General features: G+C 43.7%; 1 long non-coding RNA gene across 6 annotated transcripts in view, besides 1 other annotated feature; it reads right to left on the reverse strand.

Annotated features, from left to right (window-relative positions):
* LINC01550 (long intergenic non-protein coding RNA 1550) overlaps positions 1 to 18215 on the reverse strand; it is a 52515-nt gene extending 34300 nt beyond the window's left edge. For 3 of the 6 annotated variants that reach the window (NR_015430.2, NR_152749.1, NR_152747.1), the window contains exons 1-2: positions 18068 to 18215; positions 9364 to 9638 (exon numbers count right to left, since the gene is read on the reverse strand). This is a non-coding gene — a long non-coding RNA (long intergenic non-protein coding RNA 1550). Of the gene's footprint in view, positions 1 to 159; positions 509 to 9363; positions 9639 to 18067 lie in introns of those variants that run through there. The other 3 variants (NR_152746.1, NR_152748.1, NR_152750.1) reach the window with 3 other exon arrangements.
* Positions 18215 to 18714: an enhancer, noted in NCBI's record as "H3K4me1 hESC enhancer chr14:98444461-98444960 (GRCh37/hg19 assembly coordinates)". NCBI's record gives its function as "activates a minimal SCP1, AML or CMV promoter by ChIP-STARR-seq in primed H9 embryonic stem cells {active_cell/tissue: H9 hESC(primed)}" and the evidence as "EXISTENCE:reporter gene assay evidence [ECO:0000049][PMID:30033119]".

The raw sequence follows: 19167 nt of genomic DNA on the forward strand, positions 1-19167 counted from the left end.
ATTGTCACAGAGCCTGGCCTTCAATGATGTGTCTCCCCTTTTCTTCCTCATCTTTTTGCTCCTTACGAAACGTCATTGTGGAATCATTTCTTCACTGCTCACCCCTTACTGTTGTGCCCCCTACCTGACACTTACTTTTGCTTGTAAATTGAATCAACATATGGAAACATCTAGCTTTATTTCATTCCCTGATTAGTGGAGCGCCAAACATGTGTGTTTGATTACTCTGGAGGCCAGGGAGCAGACAGCACTGGAATAGTCTGACCCCTTTGGCCAGGGAGAAAAATTAGGCCCAAGGGGTGGCCTGGCCAAGCTGCCCCTGTGCTGTAACGTGGTCACAGGGTTTCTCGCACCTTCCATCAGGCCATGGTCCAAATGCAGGGGGAGCTGAGGGTTCAGCATGGAGGTCGTTCCACCGGGTCTGCTTGTGTTACGATCAATTTGTCTTCAGAGACAGCGCCCGTGCTTCCAGAGACAGACTTTGTTCTTACCATCCCATCTTCCCACACTATGGAGTAATAGAAGAAAAGAATAGTGTTCTATGGCCTGTTGTTGTTAGGATAAGGATTCCATGTCATGCCGTAGTGTTCCTTTAATGAACACCCATGGGGGGAAAAATAAATCTCCAGGCTCAATAGAGGGGACAGAAAGGCTTCTTGAGGACATTTTCCCTTTTGAATCTGGCGAGTATCATGCATTGGAATTCATCATGTTTCCTTCTGCGCTTGGGCTGCCAGGAAACTCAGAGCCAAATTTGTGTTATATTTCTAACATCTGTACAAAACCTTTCTGATTTTTTTTTATGTTTTTATGTTTGATTCGTTCTTTGTAACTTTATCTTCTCTGCTGCTCCTGGTTCCTTCCCAGAACCCTAGTGGGCTGACTTGCTCTCTGGGTAACTAACACCAGTGAGTATTCCCAGAAGACGACTACTGCTATTCTCCCCACTTCCCCCTTTCTGAACCCATTAAGGGTTCATAGTCCTGCCTTTTTTCACCAAATGTTAATATCACACTTAAATTGTGATCCAGAAGTCATGACCCACAAAGGACCACTTGGACCTTGCTTCTTATTTGATACCTAACTCCAGGAATTGCCTCTTTAAAGGCACTGGGTAAAAAATGATGGACCGGGCTCAAGGAAAGAAAACCCAGTCAAAGCTTAGGTGAACAAATATGTTTGACCACTTAATATAGGTATTGTGGAAGCCAAGATGCATGGACTCTCATTCCACAGCCCACAGTCTCACTGGGGTGACACACAGGGAACAGTTAGTGTAGTACAGTCCCCTAAGTGCTATGGTGGAACAGGTGCATTGGAGTACTGGAAACAGGAGGGAGATCAATGTTGCAGACCCCAGGGAATCAGGCAATGCTTCCTGGAGGAAGTGGCACTTGAGCTTAATTGTAAAAGGCAGGCAGTTGAAAACTCATGTCCACATAGAAAGTTGCACACAAATATTCATGGAAGGTTTTATTGATAATTGCTAAAATTTAGAAGCAATCAAGATGTTCTTCAATAGGTAAAGGAATGAACAAACTGTGGTACATCTGTACCATGGAATATTATTCAGCAATAATATTGATATGGAGGAGACTTACATGCATATTATTAAGTAAAAGGTGGTTAAAAATCTATATGCTTTCTGATTCTAATCATAAGACATTCTGGAAAAGGCTAAAATATCAAGAAAGTAAAAAAAAACATTAGTGGTTCTTAGGGGTTTGGTGGCAAGGAGGAAGGGATAGAAAAAGAGCTCATGAAAGAGAGAGGGAAGACCGGTGTGCAGAGTACAAAGGTGGTCAGTGAGAAAGGACATTCCAGTCGGTGGCAATAATAGAAGCCAAGGCATAATAATTGAAAATGCAGAACCTGATTCAATCAGGACAGGTCAGGCTGTGTTGCAGAAACTAAAATACAAGAGAGGAATAAGGGGGATGAGGCCAGTAAGCAAGTGGACCAGATCACAGAAACCTGAATTTTGTCCTTATGACAATGGGGAATGTTTAAAATAACTTAAGCACAAGCATGCGATGGTCACATTTATTGGTCACTGCCACCAAGAAGCTGTGGACTTAAACCCTCATCTTTGCCTCCTTCCCTTACTCCTCTTCCAAGCCCAGTCAGTGGGGAGTAACATGATCAAGTGCACTTTTTAATGTCTAGTCTGTGAATATAGTTCATCAACAGTGTCCAGGAATGATGGGGCAGCCTTGAGCCAGACGGTATGACAGTCAATAAAGACAGACCAAAAGTATAGCTCAGTGAATACAGAAGCATTTACTGGACATTTACAAAGTGCTAGAAAACTGCACATTCTCTCGTTGTCTCTCTCTCTCTCCCTTCTTTCTCTCTCCTACCCTCTCACTCTTCTTTCTGCCCCCCCGTAACAATGTTTTAAGTTTGGTTTATTATTACATGCATTGACAAAACTGAGGCTGATTGCCATGAAGCAATTTTGCCTAATGTCAGAAGAAAGTGAGCCCAGGTCATTGGGCCCCAAATCCAATGCTTTCTATTTGAACTGCTTTCAAACTTGCTATCCACCTCTATTCATCACATCTGAACTCTTCCAGCCTCTGCCAAAGAGGTCATTTCTTGGCACACTGAATCCCATTGTGGAGAGGGATAGAATAGGTGTGCCCTGGCCATCAGGTCACTACAATTATTATATATAGACTTCTGACTTGTGCATCCATGATCTCACAGCAGCACCGATTATTGTTACCCATATGTGTTATTAACAGCTTCCTAAGGCTGCTATAACAAAGTACCAAAGCACGGTGGCTTAAAACAATAGAAACCTGCTCTGTCATAGTATGAAGGCAGAACTCTGAAATCAAAGCGGCAGCAGGGTTACTTCCTTTGGGGGCTGTGAAGGAGAATCCCACCCATGCCTCCCTCCTAGCTTTGGGTGTCTGCCGGCAGTCCTTGGTATTCCTTGGCTTGCGGCTGCCACACTCCCATTTCTGCCTCCATCCTCACATGGCCTTCTTGTTTGTCGTCTCTTCTATGTCTGCGTATGTCCAATCTTCCTTTCCTCTCTCTTACAAGGACACCAGTTGTTGGGCTTTGGGTCCCATCCTAAATCCAGATGACCGCAATTACTTCTGCAAAGACCCTATTTCCAAATAAAGTCACATTCACAAGCGTGGAGATCAGGACTTGGCCTGGTTTCTTTGGGGGACATAATTTCACCTGCTACTGCATAGATGAGCAAGAGGAGTTTTTGCGAGGCTCAGTGACTCATCCCAGCACACAGCTAGGAAGTAAGGGAACATTAAGACAGAAGACCAGCTCCTTCTATCACAAATCCAGGCCCCTCCTGTCTCTAGATCTCAAAGTCATTATCTCTGAATGCAACCTTTGGTTTAGAGACGTACATACAGCATTCAGAGCCAAGAAGAATCAAGGATGCGGTCCTTGGAAAAAGAAACACCTTGGAACTTGAAAAAAGAAACACCTTTCCTTTTCTATGGGAGTGTGCTTATGATATCTTGCTGCATAACAACTACCCCAAGACTTTTTGGACTAAAACAACAAGCATGTTTTATCCCCGAGGTTTTGTGGGTCAGCAATTCCAGGTTGCTTAGCTGGGACTTCTGCATCCAGGTTATCCCCAGGCTACCATCAAGGTATCAGCTAAACCTGCAGCTATCCCAAGGCTTGGCCAGGAAAGGGTCTGCTTCCAGGCCCACTCATGGGGCTGTTGGAGGGCTTGGTTCTTCCTGAGCTGTTAGACTGAAGGTTTCAGTTCCTTGCTTGTTATTGGGTAGAGACTGTTCTCAGTGTCTGGTCACCTGAGGCCTCCACAGGGCAGCTTGCTCACTCAGTCAGAGAAGGGATGGAAAAACAAAAGCATGTCACCATCTACCATCACCTAATCTGGGACCTGACATCTCAATCATTAAGCCACCAAGCCTGTCCCACACTCAAAAGGAAGAGATTACACAAGGGTGTGAATGCCAAGAAGCAAGGATCACTGGGCATCACCTTAGAGACTGGCCACCAGACACAGCCACAAAAGTAGACCCTCCTTGTCTATGGGTGGAGTGATAGAAAGATGTGAGGAACAGAGCTATGGCAATCATTTTGCTGCAGTGAAAGGAGAGCTGGGGATTTTGAGGAAGGCATGACATGGAGCCTGAGGACAGGGCCAACACCAAGGGATACAGAAAGAACAGACTTAGAAGAACCAGGTCCTTGATGACATGATTAAGCCTCTTGATCAGCCTCCTCTGTAGCCAGAAACCTCGGAAATGTTCAGATATAACGTGAGATAATAAATGCCACGGACAGAAAGTCCTAACAGATGCATGACCCCACATATAAATATGGGCAAGGTAGTGAAAATAACCTCCTGAGGTTGTTTGCCTCTGGATACAAGCCTTTTTTGTCATTCATTATCATTTGCTCACAGATGATTCACATCGGTACTGTGAGCTGGCCTGGGGTGACCATCCACAAGCTCAGGGCTGGGTTTCTAGCTGCATCCATATTCCCCTTATATTGAAGAACACCTTATATTTTATCAAGAGCCCCGAAGTCAAGCAGCTGATGAGGTTAAGGTCTGTCTACACCTGAGCACACAGCCAAAACCCCCAAGTCCCAGGGACTATTCATTTCACTGTGTTCGCAGGTGGGTTTTTAACAAAATTAGTAATGAGATCTTGCCTCCAAATCCCTTTTCCCTGGTGAATTCACTGGGGGAAAATCAGCTTGTCTGGGGGGAGCCTGCGTGGCCTGTTTTTTTCAACTGATGTTGAAATCCTACCATCTCCCAGCTCTGCCCTTCCACCCGCACCCACCCACATGGAGACAACTAACCATTAACTTGTCTTTTCCCATTTCACTGAAGAATTTGCGAGCACAGACTCAGCACTCACCCTCTCTCTCTGACTTCCTCAGACTCCAAACAGCACTTATAGAAAGTCAAAGTGTAATTGTGGAGATGTATTTGTGCTCTGGCCTTTTCAACATTTTGAGAATCACACACTGTGGGCTCCCCCCAGCCCTGCCCTTCTCCCTACCCCATAAACAATGTCTGACCTATAGCCTTTGAGGTAGGTTTCTGATGGGAATTGCAGATGATGGAGCCACCTTCTGCTTTAGGGACCTCCCCCATTCCCGGGTGGACACCGCCCCCCCCGCAACCTGCTCTGCTTCATGCATAGAGGGAAGAAATAACTATTCCCTGGAGATGCCGCATCTGATTCATAAGGAAAAAAAAAGGGATTTGAGGGGAAGATAATAGGAAGGATTTTGTTTTGTTTCATTTTTTTCTCATTTCACATTTTATTTGTAGAAGTTTAATGACTAGATATCAATGTTCTCTTTTATTTATCTACTTTCAAATTTTAATGAATACTTCTGGCTATAATTACCTAATTTTTATACTTAAAATGACTAGACACCTGTAGTTCAGAGCACATTGTATTCCAGCATGATGGCTTATGGTATCAAGTGCTGCATATATATGGATTAATCAATAAGCAAATTCAATTCTTATGAGGTGCAGTTCATTCTTTAAATTGAAGAGGCATTGACAACAGGAGGGAGAGGGTTTAGTGCTACTCTCTTAGGATGAGAATCTACCATGAATGTGTTCACTTCTCTGTTGTTCCTTTATTATCCAGGGAAGTGGCTTAATATTTTCTAAGAGTGGCCATTGTAAGCAGGACTCATCTATCCTTTTTTAGATGGATTTCTTTATTTTCAAGACAGTGTATGAGTAACCTGAAGAGGGGGTGGGTCTCAGTGCCCCCTCAAACCATTCAATTCTATAAAATGCCCAAGAGGTAAACATTGGAGGACTCCACTTCTAATAGGTATGGAAAATACAATTCTACCCTCTCTAGATGTGGGTCCTGATAAGGCTAGAAACCTCAGCTTTTAAAGTCATTGGTACTCTTTGGTATAATGACAACCACTATTGGACTAGGTACCAATTTTAGGGCCTGTGTCTGAGGCACTATGCCAGGTGCATCACATACAAATTCTAGTCTCACAGCAGAGTGTGAACTGATATCTTCATTCTACAGATAAGGAGGCTCAAGGTGTGACAGACCATATCACATGTGAAAGTCATGTAGTTAAACCAGGAATATCTCATATCTAAGCATTTTTTTCTGCCCACTCTATTACATTAATTTATTGTTTCTCTCCTTTAATTTCTTTCCTTCTGGAGTACTCACACTAACCCTTCTCATGTTCTGTTAGAAGCAAGGCTCATTAGAATAAGAAAGGCAATTGCTTGAACCTCACCATCTTTTGCTGGAGCTTACAGAGAGGCAGTCATGGACCTCTTGAGACCAGGAGGCCCAGGTACAGGTGATAAGAGCCCAGCTGAGACCAGAAAGGGCAGAAGGTGAGTGACTAATGGACTCCCACCACCCGCCTACTGGAACCCTGGGGGCCTGGAGGTGAGGAATTGTGAGCTAGACTAAAAGAGCATTTTCAATTATCCCAGGAGAGAAGTGTTTAGACAGGACAATTAGGTCATTTAAAGTGACCATATTTTCTGTTAGAACCAAGGGAATTCCTAGTTCAGCCTGCCCTGGCTTTCTTAACCTCACTGGGTAAAGACATTGATGAGGGAAGAGAGGAATCTCCCCACAGCCTGGTGGCTCACAAGGTGTCATCCGAGACCTCTGTGGAGGGTTTACAATCAGGGGAGGCTTGTGGGACAAGGTGCACAGAGTAGGTGAGGATTCATTGAATGCAAACTGATGAGAGTTTTCATAATGTTAAATAGGGAAAGAAGAGGAGGGTCACAGGGGTAGGAAGGAATTGTAAGCCACAGGATGTGTAAAGGCTGTTTTGATTAGGGAAGTTTGGACCACTCTGGGTGACCCACCTCTGTGAGAAGGAGAGATGTTTGGGTGGGGCTGGTGGAGAAAACGGCACCTTGTTAAGGCCAGAAAGATGGCCAGGAATTAGCAGGGAAGAGACACGGGGAGGGCTTTCTCGGAAAAGGAGCCATAAGTATTGGTATAGTAACAGTTTTACATTTAAATTTAAAGAATGTCTTGATGGATTTTCAAGGTGAGCTTTTTAGGCCTTTCCACCTTCCAATGTCCCCTACTCCCCATTTTCCCTACAGATGAAATGATCAAATTCAAGCTGCTATGGCATTTGACTTTCAAAGCCCAATACATTTCATTCCTTGTTAACCTGTTTATTCATCTCTTATAAATACTCTTTCCACCCCCACCCCAGTTTCACCTGGAGGTCTCACACAGGAGTGCCTTCTCTCTGCTATGCTCTCTGACTGCTGTGACCCCTGTGCACCCAGGTGGGGCCACAGTCACTCCAGGAAGTCTTCTGTGCTGGCCCCACATCTTTCTCTTCTTCCTCTTTCAGCCTTCTCTGGATGCTAACAAAGCTGTTGATAGCTGTTAATGGTTTCGCTGTGTCCCCACCCAAATCTCATCATGAACTATAGTTCCCATAATCTCCACATATTGTGTCATGGGAGGGACCTGGTTGGAGGTAATTGAATCATGGGGGCAGTTACCCCCATGCTGTTCTCATGATAGTGATTCTTACAAGATCTGATGTTTTTTTTTAGGGGCTTTTCCCCCACTTCACTCATACTTCTCCTTGCTGCCACTATGTGAAGAAGGATGTGTTTCCTTCTCCTACTGCCATGATTGTAAGTTTCCTGAGGCTTCCCCAGCCCTGCAGAACTGTGAGTCACTTAAACCTCTTCCTTTATAAATTACCTAGTCTCAGGTATGTCCTTATAGCAGCGTGAGAATGGACTAATACAGCTGTGTTCTGAGTCCGATTTTATCTGTTTTATGGGATTGCGATAGCCCCAGCTCTGCTGTGTACTCTTGGAGCACAATGCTCTTGCTGTAGAATTCCTCAAATTCCCCAACAGACCCTAGACACCATGGATCTTTCCATAACACTCTGCAATTAAGGGCTGGTTCCCAATGACTGACTCTTGAAAAATACTAGACCTTCTTCCATTAGCAAAATGAAACAAACAATACCATTTAAACTTGACCATAATGTGTTTGAAATCTCATTTTCTCTTAACCAAATGTCCTCTACTTTTTTAGTTGAACAACTTAAACTAGAAATTTACTATACAAGTTATAAGTCTGAGGTATTAGACCTTCCTTTTTTGATTACTGGTGGCAGTCTGATTTGTTTATATAGTGCTTCCGAGTTGACAGGAAACTTCTGGAGCCATTATCACTTTTTCCTACACAAAGGACTGAAAGAGTATTTTCTCTCCATTTGACAGATGAAGAAGCTAAGGCATGAGGGAATGAGCAAAAGTAAGCCCAATATGCTGCAGGAGAGGAAGGGGATCCAAGGATACCTGACAGAAAATTTTCTGCTCATTTTAAGGCACTGGCCATTGTCTTCTTCTTTTTTTTTTTTTTTTTTTTGAGACAGAGTCTGACTCTTTCACCAAGGCTGGAGTGCAGTGGTGCAATCCTGGCTCACTGCAACCTCCGCCTCCTGGGTTCAAGCGATTCTCCTGTCTTAGCCTTCTGAGTAGCTGGGATTACAGGCTTATGCCACCATGCCCGGCTAATTTTTGTATTTTTAATATAGACGTGGTTTTGCCATTTTGGGCTGGTCTCAAACCCCTGACTTTAGGTGATCTGCCTGCCTCAGCCTCCTAAAGTGCTAGGATTACAGGCATGAGCCAATGCACCCAGCATGGCCCTTGTCTTATAAATTCTAAAAAGCAGATACTACTGCATTTACCTAAGACCATTGACAGGGAGTCTGAAAACTCATAGACATTCATTGGAGTGGAGTGAGAGGTGGGAAAGTGTGTTGTTTTGGTGGAGTGAGGCTCAGATGCATTTCTCATTCTTTCTCTTCACGTAATCGCAGCACTGTGGGAGGCCGAGGTGGGTGGATCGCCTGAGGTCAGGAGTTCGAGACCAGCCTGGCCAACACAGGCAAACCCCGTCTCTACTAAAAATACAAGAATTAGCTGGATGTGGTGGTGCGTTTCTGTAGTCCTGGCTACTCGGGAGGCTGAGGCAGGAGAATCGCTTGAATCCGGGAGACGGAGGTTGCAGCGAGCCGAGATTGCACCACTGCACTCCAGCCTGTGCAACAGAGTGAGACTCATCTGAAAAAAAAAAAAAAAAAAGAAGTAAAATTGTGTAGGAAAAGATTGTATTTCCTTCAAGCCCAGATTAAGGGTTTTGCAAAAATCAGTTTAGGAAGAAAAAGGGATGGAACAGAGCCTTCTGTAATATTTTAAATCAAAGGGGTTGGCTATAAAATATGGAGACCAAAATAACTGCTGAGAACACAATGCTTTCACATAAAATAAAAACTTGGGAAGAAGACTCCAGATAAGAAAGACTAACAGTTGGCACTTACATTTCAGTGTTATTTACCAGCAGGAAAAGACGATTTTGACTGATTGAGTTGAATGTGCTGAGTTGATGGTGAGTTCAATATGGCTGTAAAGCTCGGTACTGTCCTGGTCATTGTGCCTTCCGGGAGAGGGAGAACGACTGTGAGTTCCTGAGCCCAAAGGTGATCTTTTCTTGCTTTGTAGTTCTGAGGAGACTGCACCTGGACAAGTTGTAGAAATTTGGGCTGTGCGGTATGAGATGCATGTATGCAGACTAAAAGGCATTCAGCCAACGGATCTAAAAATAATTAAAAGAAGAGTGAGATTACCTTTCATGGATGGACACAAAGACCAAATATATGTATTTACCCTAAATGACAACAGAAGGAAACCAGAAAGATAATTGAAGGATTGTGAAGATCAAAGGGCTAGAGGATTTGCTCTTTCTGACACAAGGGTCTAGAATTGCAAAAAAAAAAAAAAAAAAACAGAACAAATGTATGATGCTAACATGTAGTTTGCCTGACAGAAAACCTTAAACAAAAACATAGTGGAGTTACTTCCCTTGGAAGAACTTAGATCTGGGGGGTGATTCAAAATCTACTCTCATAAACTGTCAAAAGTACATTGGGAAGAGAGGAATCATGTGCAATCAGTGAAAGAATAGTTTAGAGGATCTGCTAGGATAGTTCATCATTGCCTACTACGGCAATGTGACATCAAATAGGAAGCCCCAATTGTGTTGCTCAATTACATGTGTATTCAACAAGCAGAGCCTTGGGCATAGAACAGGACTCCTAAGTTTCTTACAGCCATGATAGAATATAGAGTATCTCTTTGAAACAAGCCCCTACATAAGCCTCAAAAAGAAACAAGTACAATTCAGAAGATGTGAACTCAGGGATATCCAAGAAAAGAGGATGAAAAATCAGACCGATGGGGAAAGAGACTGATATAACATTTTTTGAAGCCAAGTACTGCTAAGTTAATCCTGTAGTTGATCTCAATAAAAAGGAGGACATTAATAATCTGTCCAAAAATACATATTTCGGTGTATTTGGTGGAAGGTAAAGACTTAGAGAGAGAAGAGCCCAGTGCAAAGACTAAGAATAGTCCAATATGGCTGCAAGGCTCAGAGGTGCAAGGCACAGAGACTACAGGCTATTTAGAAACCAGACCAAAATCTCTATGATTCAGGCAGAGGTTTCTGAGAATTACCTCAAGTCAGCAAGGGGGGCCATTGGGAAATCTCACATATAAAAATGAAACAATAAAGTTTGTGTTTTGATCATCCTGTAAAGATCTGTAAAGATTGTCCTGGCCCTGAAATAGAGAATAGACAGGAAGGGTGAAATAATAGAGGTAGGAGATAAATTAGGAGTTTGTTGTAGAAGTCCAGAAAAAAAGATAATGAAGCCTGGACTGAGAGAATGGTGGAAAATGGTAGTGGGTTGGAGAGATTGAAAAAAAAAAATGAAAACTATTGAAAAGATAGAATCCATAGGCCTCAATTTTTAATGAGATGGGTGGGTTGGTGTTGAGGAAAGATAGGTAAAGACATCTAAATTTCTCAGTTGGGCATCAAGTATGTGGTAATGCCATTAATCAGGGGACACTGACAATGGAGTAAAGATTTGGGGACGAAGATGTTATAGGGAAACTAAAGTAAAGTCAACTTGAACATATTGGGGTTTTTTTGTTTGTTTCTTTGTTTTGAAATGGAGTCTTGCTCTGTCACCCAGACTGGAGTGTAGTGGCAAGATCTTGGCTCACTGCAACCTCTGCCTCCTGGGTTCAAGCCATTCTCCTGCCTCAGCCTCCCGAGTAGCTGGGATTACAGACACCTGCCACCACACCCGGCTAATTTTTGTATTTTCAGTAGAGATGGGGGTTTCACCATGTTGGCCAGGCTGGTCTTGAACTCCTGACCTCAAGTGATCCGCCCTCCTCAGCCTCCCAAAGTGCTGGGATTACAGGCATGAGTCACCACGCCCAACCAAAGATATTAGTTTGAAGGCTCTGTGATATGGCCAAGTCTAAAGACAGTCATCACATATATGAACGCAAAGGTCTGGAGTCTATAGAGAATCAGGTCTGGGAATGAAGCTCCGGAGTCATCACCATGAGTGGTTAATGCAGTCTGGGAAGAAGAGGGATCCCAGGAGATAATGTAAATGAGATAATATAAAAATTATTTATGATATGTTAAATGGCCTATGGCAAACCTTGAGGAACATCAACATCTAATGGCTAGGAGAGAAAGACAATCCTGGAAAGGAGAATAAGAAGAACACTGAAAGAGGCAAAAAAGAAACCCAGCTCTAGGGGCTATTAAGGAAGTCCCAGGCAGGACCCAGGAATATTCTTCAAGATAATGGGATAGGTCAGGGCACAAGTACTAAGACTCTATTATGGGTTCAGCTTTTTTGATACAGAGATGAATAAGAGAAACATACCTGACCTAACTGCCCAGAGAAGCCAGGAGGATTTAGAAAAAGAAACACTAGGGTTATGTCTTGAAGGCTGAAAAGGAATTTTCTGGGAAAGGAGAAGTCATGCCAAGCATGAGAACCTGAATATGTGAAGTCCATGTCATGGCCCAACATGATGTGTTTAAAGAACAAGAAGAAATTCCATTTCACAGGTTCAATGGGTTTGTGGTGGAGGGGTGCCTGGGAGGATATGGGCACATGGGGATTTGGAATGGAGTGGAAGTCTGTGCTAAGAAGCCTGAGTCTTGTCTTATCAAATGTGGGGACCTTAGAGCTTTACAAGAAGATAAGGAGCATGTTTCATTCTAGTTCAGAAAGGTATCTTTAGTAGTGATAACCCTAGAGACTATAGAACTGTGTGGAGAGGAGACATATTTAGGAAAGAGACTGGGTATGCTTTAGATATTAATGCAGGGGATTCAGGGGGTGGGTATTCTGGGGCTTGTCTTGGGCAACAGGGAGGACAATTCTGTTTTTCCAGGAAGATAAGAGGAGGACAGTTTTAGACTCCAGCAAGGGATAGTTGAATTAAAATGAAACTAGTCCTGATCATTGTTGCCTATTATTTCCATAAAAAAACAAAAACAAAACCAGAAGCAGTGGGTAGAGGCAATGGCTAGATATTAGGAATTTGACAGGGGATGAAGGGTTAACCAAATCTTGGCGATGGATTCGATTTGACTTTCTGGAGTTGAATCAGAGACCATGATCATAGACCATGGCACAACCTCTGACAGCATCATGTCTTTCAGAGTCTTTGGTAGGGAGGGCAGCTGCCTTCTGCCGAACATCTCCTCTGTTCTAAGACCTTAACCCACGTGATATAATCAACACTAATGCCGACACTGTGAAGTCACCTTTGGGAAGCTTGCCTTGCCGTGGGTCAGATTTTAACAGTTGCTGAGTTCAATTTCTAGCCCAACTCATTCTGGTTGCCAAGGGGCTTTTTTCTTCTTTATATTCACATTCCCTTTATCCATTGATCACACTGTCTGGTATTATCTGGCATCACCCTGGTGAAACAGTTGGCTGACCTTACTACTTCCTGACTCCTTAGCTTGCTGAATTGCTATGGACCAAAAGTGAGACTAAAAGGGAGTGTAATGGAGCAGAGGGAATCAAGATTTGCATTATCAGTATGGTGGTTCTTCTTGATATTGCTGAAAACTCCATCAGGTGAGGGGCAGAGGAGGCTGTGTCTAATTATGTTTTATTTTTATCAATGAATAAGTGCTTCTCTTTCTAGAAACCCCCATTAAAAGCCAGTGAAAAAGGATCAGTTGGGACAGCGTCCCCAGACATTCTTCACTTCCCATCCCCCATAGGCACTGAGTGCTTCCTGAGTGAAACATGGCATGTGATATTCTTCTCTCAATTGTCCAGGTGACAAGGCAGTTATGTCCCTTGCAGGGTCATGACCAGGACAGAATACCATACATGGATCTCCCGAATCCTCCCTGCTTGGGGTTGGCAGCCTCCTTTTCACTGCTGTGATGGAAACAGATGAATAAATGAGCTAGAAACCATGGACCATCAAAGAAGCTGTCATGACTTAATGATGACTGAATCATTTCTCAGATGAAGAAAATGAGGCATAAGAGTTAAAAGTTAATGCGTTACAGGTCACGTCTCAATCTTGGTCTCCATAGAAGTGTATGTATATTTCTGGGTAACTGTTTACACATTCCTCTCCTCCATGTGCTGTGAACAATTGGCAGAAATGGTCTGTCTTCCAACTCTGGATCCCAATGCTTCATAGTGTTGGCACACATAGACTGACTACGATCTCATAGCTACACATGCTGCTGAATGAGAGGCTATTGTTTGTCAGGCATTTTACTGGTCCTGGCATTTGAGTAATGATGTTAATCACTTTTATCTAGTTCCATCTCCAATTTCACGTTGCATTTGTTGTTCATTTTAATCCTCTCTTCCTTGTGAAGAAGACAGTATTATCATCACCATTTTTGCAAATGTCGTAACTAGGAACGTAAGAGTTTAAAACCTGCCTTAGTTCACGAGGCTACTAAGTGGTAGATGAGAACTTGAACCCCAAACTACTGATTCTGAATCTTAAATGGATGTGCACAGCTACCAAGATGAAGAGGACCCCATCTGCACCCTCAGGAAGGTTCTAGTCTCAGAGAAATGGCCTCAGAAAATAAACTGAGGGATGTGCACTCCACTCCTTTATTCACTGGGGTCTGCCCGTGGGTTCCAGTCTAAGGGTTTGCACTTCTGAATGAGAACAATGTCCTGTTTGGGGGAGGAAAAGCAAATAGACAGGCCTGAGAAGTGGTTCAGTCATCGTCAATGTCATGACTGCTTCTTTGATGGTCCATAGTTCCTAGCTTGTTTATTCATCTCTTTCCATCACTGTACTAAAAATGAGTCTGCCAACCCCAACCAGAGAGGGTTCAGGAGATCTGTGCACAGTATTCTGTCCTGGCCACGACCCACCAGGGAGCAGGCAGGAATTAAGTGATGCAAAATGCTGGTATGAAATATTGCCATAATTGCTTTCTGGAAAACAACAAGCTTAATTCCCAGTAAAACGGCATTAGAATTTTCCAGGCTCTCAGACGGGGAAAATAAAATGCCCTTCCTAGAAATTTCTCATGCTCTGTGTTTTCTACGAGATGATGAAGACTCTGTAGAGGATAATGTGGAAGGTTTTGGAATCTATGCTCATTGCCCTGTTTCATCAAATGTATGTGGGACTCTTCTCAAACAGACAAAAAAACTCCAAAGCCCAGGCTGATACATATTTTAAAAATTTCTATGAGAATAAAAAATGGCCCTAGAGTCTCTCAGCCTGAGTTCCATCCTGTCACTTAATAGCTAGGCATTGTTGAGTGCCTTACTTAAGGTAGAAAGCTCTGATTTTGTTGTCTGTAAAAATGAGACTAATACTAGAATTTTCCTCATAGATCTGTCAGTACCTTTTAATAAGTTATTCCAGATTAAACACTTAGCCTTGTGCCTGATACAATACATGTTGGCAATGATCTTAACACTTTTCTGTTTCTCTTCTTCTCTTAGCTGATATGTTGAGACTGAGCTGTTTTACTTCAATGACCCTTTCTTCTGTGCCATCACTTCCTTTCTGAATTCATTGAATTATTCTAAGTAGAGAATATCCTCACAAGGTGGTTTTGTGGATCCACAAAACCCTACGGTGGTTCCAGAGTAATGTCTAGTGCTGGATAAATGTCTATGGCCCTGAACTTTGCGGGGAGAGGATTGGTGAGTTGAGTCAATACGTGTTGAACTGTACAGCAAGAAAACTCAATTCCTTTCTTGTGATAATTGAAATCATTTCAATTCATTTCCTTCTTGGTTGGACAGAAACATGTTTTCAGTAGTGAGCAAATCTTGAGGGAATCCATTGACCTGAACACTCATATAATGCATGAAGTTAGTGGACAAAAAATGATATTCATCTTCAGTTAATAATAGCATTTTCTTCTGCAGCACCTAAACTTAGGGGTGGTGAGGGATACTATTGGTGCAGTCACTGTGCCACCGGCAGATGCATGACCTTTGTTGTATCTAACTATAATTGGATCTATGGTGAAATAAAATAAAAACCAACACAAGTTTTGACACTAAGATAATAAATTATAAATTATGGAAGTCTACGCCACCAAGGATCTTGTAAACAACAGGCTGGTCTCTTAGCAACAGACCAAGGAGAGCAGGTTGTTGATAGGAATGGAGCAGACAGGATTGTTTTGTAGTGATTACTACCAAACACCAGGAACTACATTTCAACACCTGCCCGAGGCCCCATCCCTGCCCAGCCTTTCTTTGTCCAATGGCCAGTGACCCTTTCCCACTGACCCAGATGACCAGACCCCATGGAGGGGACAATAAAGATATGGACTGAAGGATAGAGGTGGGCTGAGGATGCCCTGTGGGAACAGGAGGGAACTACAGAGGGGGCGGGAGAAATAAATACATTCTTATTTGATACTGTTTAAAATTAGGACTCTAAACGGGGAACTCCTCTTTTCCCTGCCCCCAACTCCCTTTGGTTTTAAAAATCTCACTGAGAGTGGTTGTCATGAAGGAATTTAGACAAGACTTTGACAAGGTGCCAAAATGGTTTATTTTAAAATGTTGTTCCCGAAAGCACCGGAATATTAAGTTGGAGCAAACGTTGCTTGGAAGAGCGAAGGGGTTGTGGTCACACATTCTTGGAAGAAGGGTGATGGAGATCAAGGTGTTTGTAACCTGGAATTAACAAACGCAGGTGGACCGAAGGACTCAGTCACCAGGGAGTTTTTTTTTACAAATACATGTGTAAGAGTGTGTGTGAGTGTAGGTGAGTGTGGGTGTGTGTGTGAGTGTGGGTGAGTGTGTGAGTGTATGTGTGAGTATGTGTGAGTGTATGTGTGAGTGTGTGTGTGAGTGTGGGCGCGTGTGTGTGAGTGTGGGTGAGTGTGTGTGTGAGTGTGGGTGAGTGTGTGGGTGAGTGTGGGTGAGTGTGTGTCAGTGTTTCTCAACTGCGGGGCATTTTCGGAGTTGGGGTGCAGAAGGAGATTTTCTTTAATTAATTAGATGTTTACCTCCAGCATCATCCCTCAGTGGTTTAGACAATCATCTGCCCACATGTTAGGAATGAGATTCAAGAAAGCCTCTTGGAGTGAAATTTTCCTGGAAATATCCTGATTCTTGGCGGCACACACCCTCTCCCTCTTTCTGTGATAGAAACAGCCAGTTCTGCATTATTCCAAACCACAAAGCAAGCGACATGCCATCCCAACTTAGGATATGAAGGAAGTATCAGCCCCCTAATTGCACAGGGGCCACACAGCCTGCATCTCCCTCCATCGTCCCGACTGCATGCTTTTGATTGTTTCATAATAAAAGTGGCCGGCTAAATTATGACTACTTGTGATTTATTTGCCATGTCATTTAGACTTTTCATATGTATAAATTTGCCATTTGAAAAGAAAGAGAAAATTCACTGCTATTCCCCAAGGCCTCGTTTTTGGGGAGCTCCTCTAACATCATGAACAGAGGCTTTGTGACTTCTAAAGTGATTAGCTCCTATCCGGAGGTTTTGGAACATATCTGTGCTCAGAAGCAGTCTGCCGGGGTGAAATTCTATCTGGAATAGTGTCCTAACCCCATCGGAGAGAGACTCTGAATTTTTAAAACGCCTGTTAAGGACCCCTGGGTATGAGCCCCGCACAAACATGTCTGCGGCACCCACAGCTGTGCCTCAATGAAGGCCCAATTTCTCCATTGCACAGATGAAATTGCAAAGGCCCAGCAATGTTAGCCAAATTCCCCAAGCTTAATGCCAGAGCCTGCTTCCACTCCAGGACAAAGTGGTTTCAAAGTCCATACTTGCCCCACCCTGGTGGCCTGCCCTGGGGAAGGTCACTGCCAAGAAGGCTCCTGGGCCGTCTTGCAGCTGCTGCCTCTTCTTTTAATTACGAAAGAAATGCATCATCATGAAAAATCAACAATACACAAGATATAAAGTTAAAAGGCAAAGTCCCCCCTCATCCTCTCTCTCAGCCCCTCAAGTATATTAGAAGATCTTTTTAGGGTTGAATTTTCACTCTGCAGGAGGGTGTTCTGTATACAAAGAATACGACCCTTTCTTCCTCTTTAATTTGCTTATAGCTGGTACATTTCAAAAAAAAATAAAAAGTGACCCATGCCTTTGATGTTTTTTTTTTCCCCTTATTTTTGTCAACATATTGTGGAGAATGCTGAGTTCTTTGAATTGTTTTTCCCTCTGACAGCAAATCACCAAGATGTACTTTTCCAGAGCCTAACATCCTTGAATTCACAAAAGTTCCAGTCTGGAGTCATAATGTGGAACGTAAGCAGTTCTAGTCAGTTCTGATCTTGGCAACATGAATTCTCCCCTTTCCCCGGGGAGACTCAGAAACCTGCATTTTCACAAGATTTCCCAAGTGACATGTGTGCACAACAGGGTTTGAGAAACCCTGTGCTGGACTCAGCTGCTTCAGAGAGAAGACACAGAACAATTGCCAAGCTATCAAAAAAAGCTCAGACTGACAGCAGAGAACTCAATAGAAATGCCCCATCCGACTGTTGAAACTCAGGCCCAAACTACTGCAAGAGAGTGGAGAACTGTTTCTCCTCTGAAAAGGCCCGATTTCGACTAAATGAAAGCAAAACTGTAGGGACCATTTCCCACCTAGTAGCTTGAAGCCCTACCCGGTCACCAAATTGGCCTAGCTGGTCCTACCTGCATTTGGTAAGAGCCGGGGATTGGGACGAGGCAGAGAGCAAGACCAAGCTGGTTTCCTCTCCGGTTTCCTCCGGGGTGGCTGGGTCCCAGGTCCTGCCCCCGCCTCGCCCTGTGCAAGCTCGGTGCAGTGCAGCCCCTCCGGCTCTCGCCCCACAATGCCGTGCGCAGGCTGGCAGCAGTTCAGCTGAGGACTAAACGCTTGGCTCAAGTTCAACACGGCTGCCAAGATTTGGCAACCAGAGAGTTGCAGGGAAGCAGCAGGCTGCTAAACCCTTTCACATTTTTAATTAGATCCACACACCCATGTCTTTGAGCTATCATAAATATACAGATGACATAGAGAGTATTATTCGGGGTTAAAAAAAAAAAAAAGGAAGCAAACTCTACTAAGGTACAGCTTACCTTATTGAAATAATTTCCCTATCACTAGTTTGAGGGCTGAGGAGGAAAAAGAGAAGGTAGTGATATTTGCTTAAGTAGAACCACATCTGACAAGGGAATCTACCCAGGATCTGGAAAACACAGGTCTCGGCTGCCTTGCTATCTTCCTGGGCTTCGAGAATATCACCAGAAGAGGGCATTCTTGGCGCCGGCTCAGCCCTGTGCAGCCCGGAGCTGGCAGGCAGCAGTGCTGGAGGAGTCATCCCTCAGGCCACTCCCACCTCCCGTTCTTGGGGATAGCTTTAATATCGCCACGGAGCAGAGAGGTTCTCTCCTTCGCCCTAAATGCAGCAACTTTTATACTCCATGTTGCCTTACTATTCTTCTCGTTTTATTTCCTTCTCTGGATTGTTTTTGGGTATCTTCCCCTGGAAAACAATTGCAGATGCTTCTAAATTTTTCTAAGTCCTGTGCCGCAACATGCTCAGCTTCTTCCCCTCAGAACCAGCCTTTCCCCTTGCACTCAGCCCCTGGGCGATTCTCCCTCCGGGGAGGAAAGAAGATTCAACTCTTGATTCAAATGCTCCGGATTTCACTCTGGTTTCGCTGTGTGGCTTTGGACATAGGATTTAAAGCCTTCACGTTGGTTCCCTCATCTGAAAGATCCCAAAGCAATTCTGGCCTCACAGAGTGGCTCTGGGGTTTAAATCCTATGT

The sequence above is a fragment of the Homo sapiens genome, chromosome 14 (genome assembly GCF_000001405.40).
Source record: "Homo sapiens chromosome 14, GRCh38.p14 Primary Assembly".
Lineage (NCBI taxonomy): Eukaryota > Metazoa > Chordata > Mammalia > Primates > Hominidae > Homo > Homo sapiens.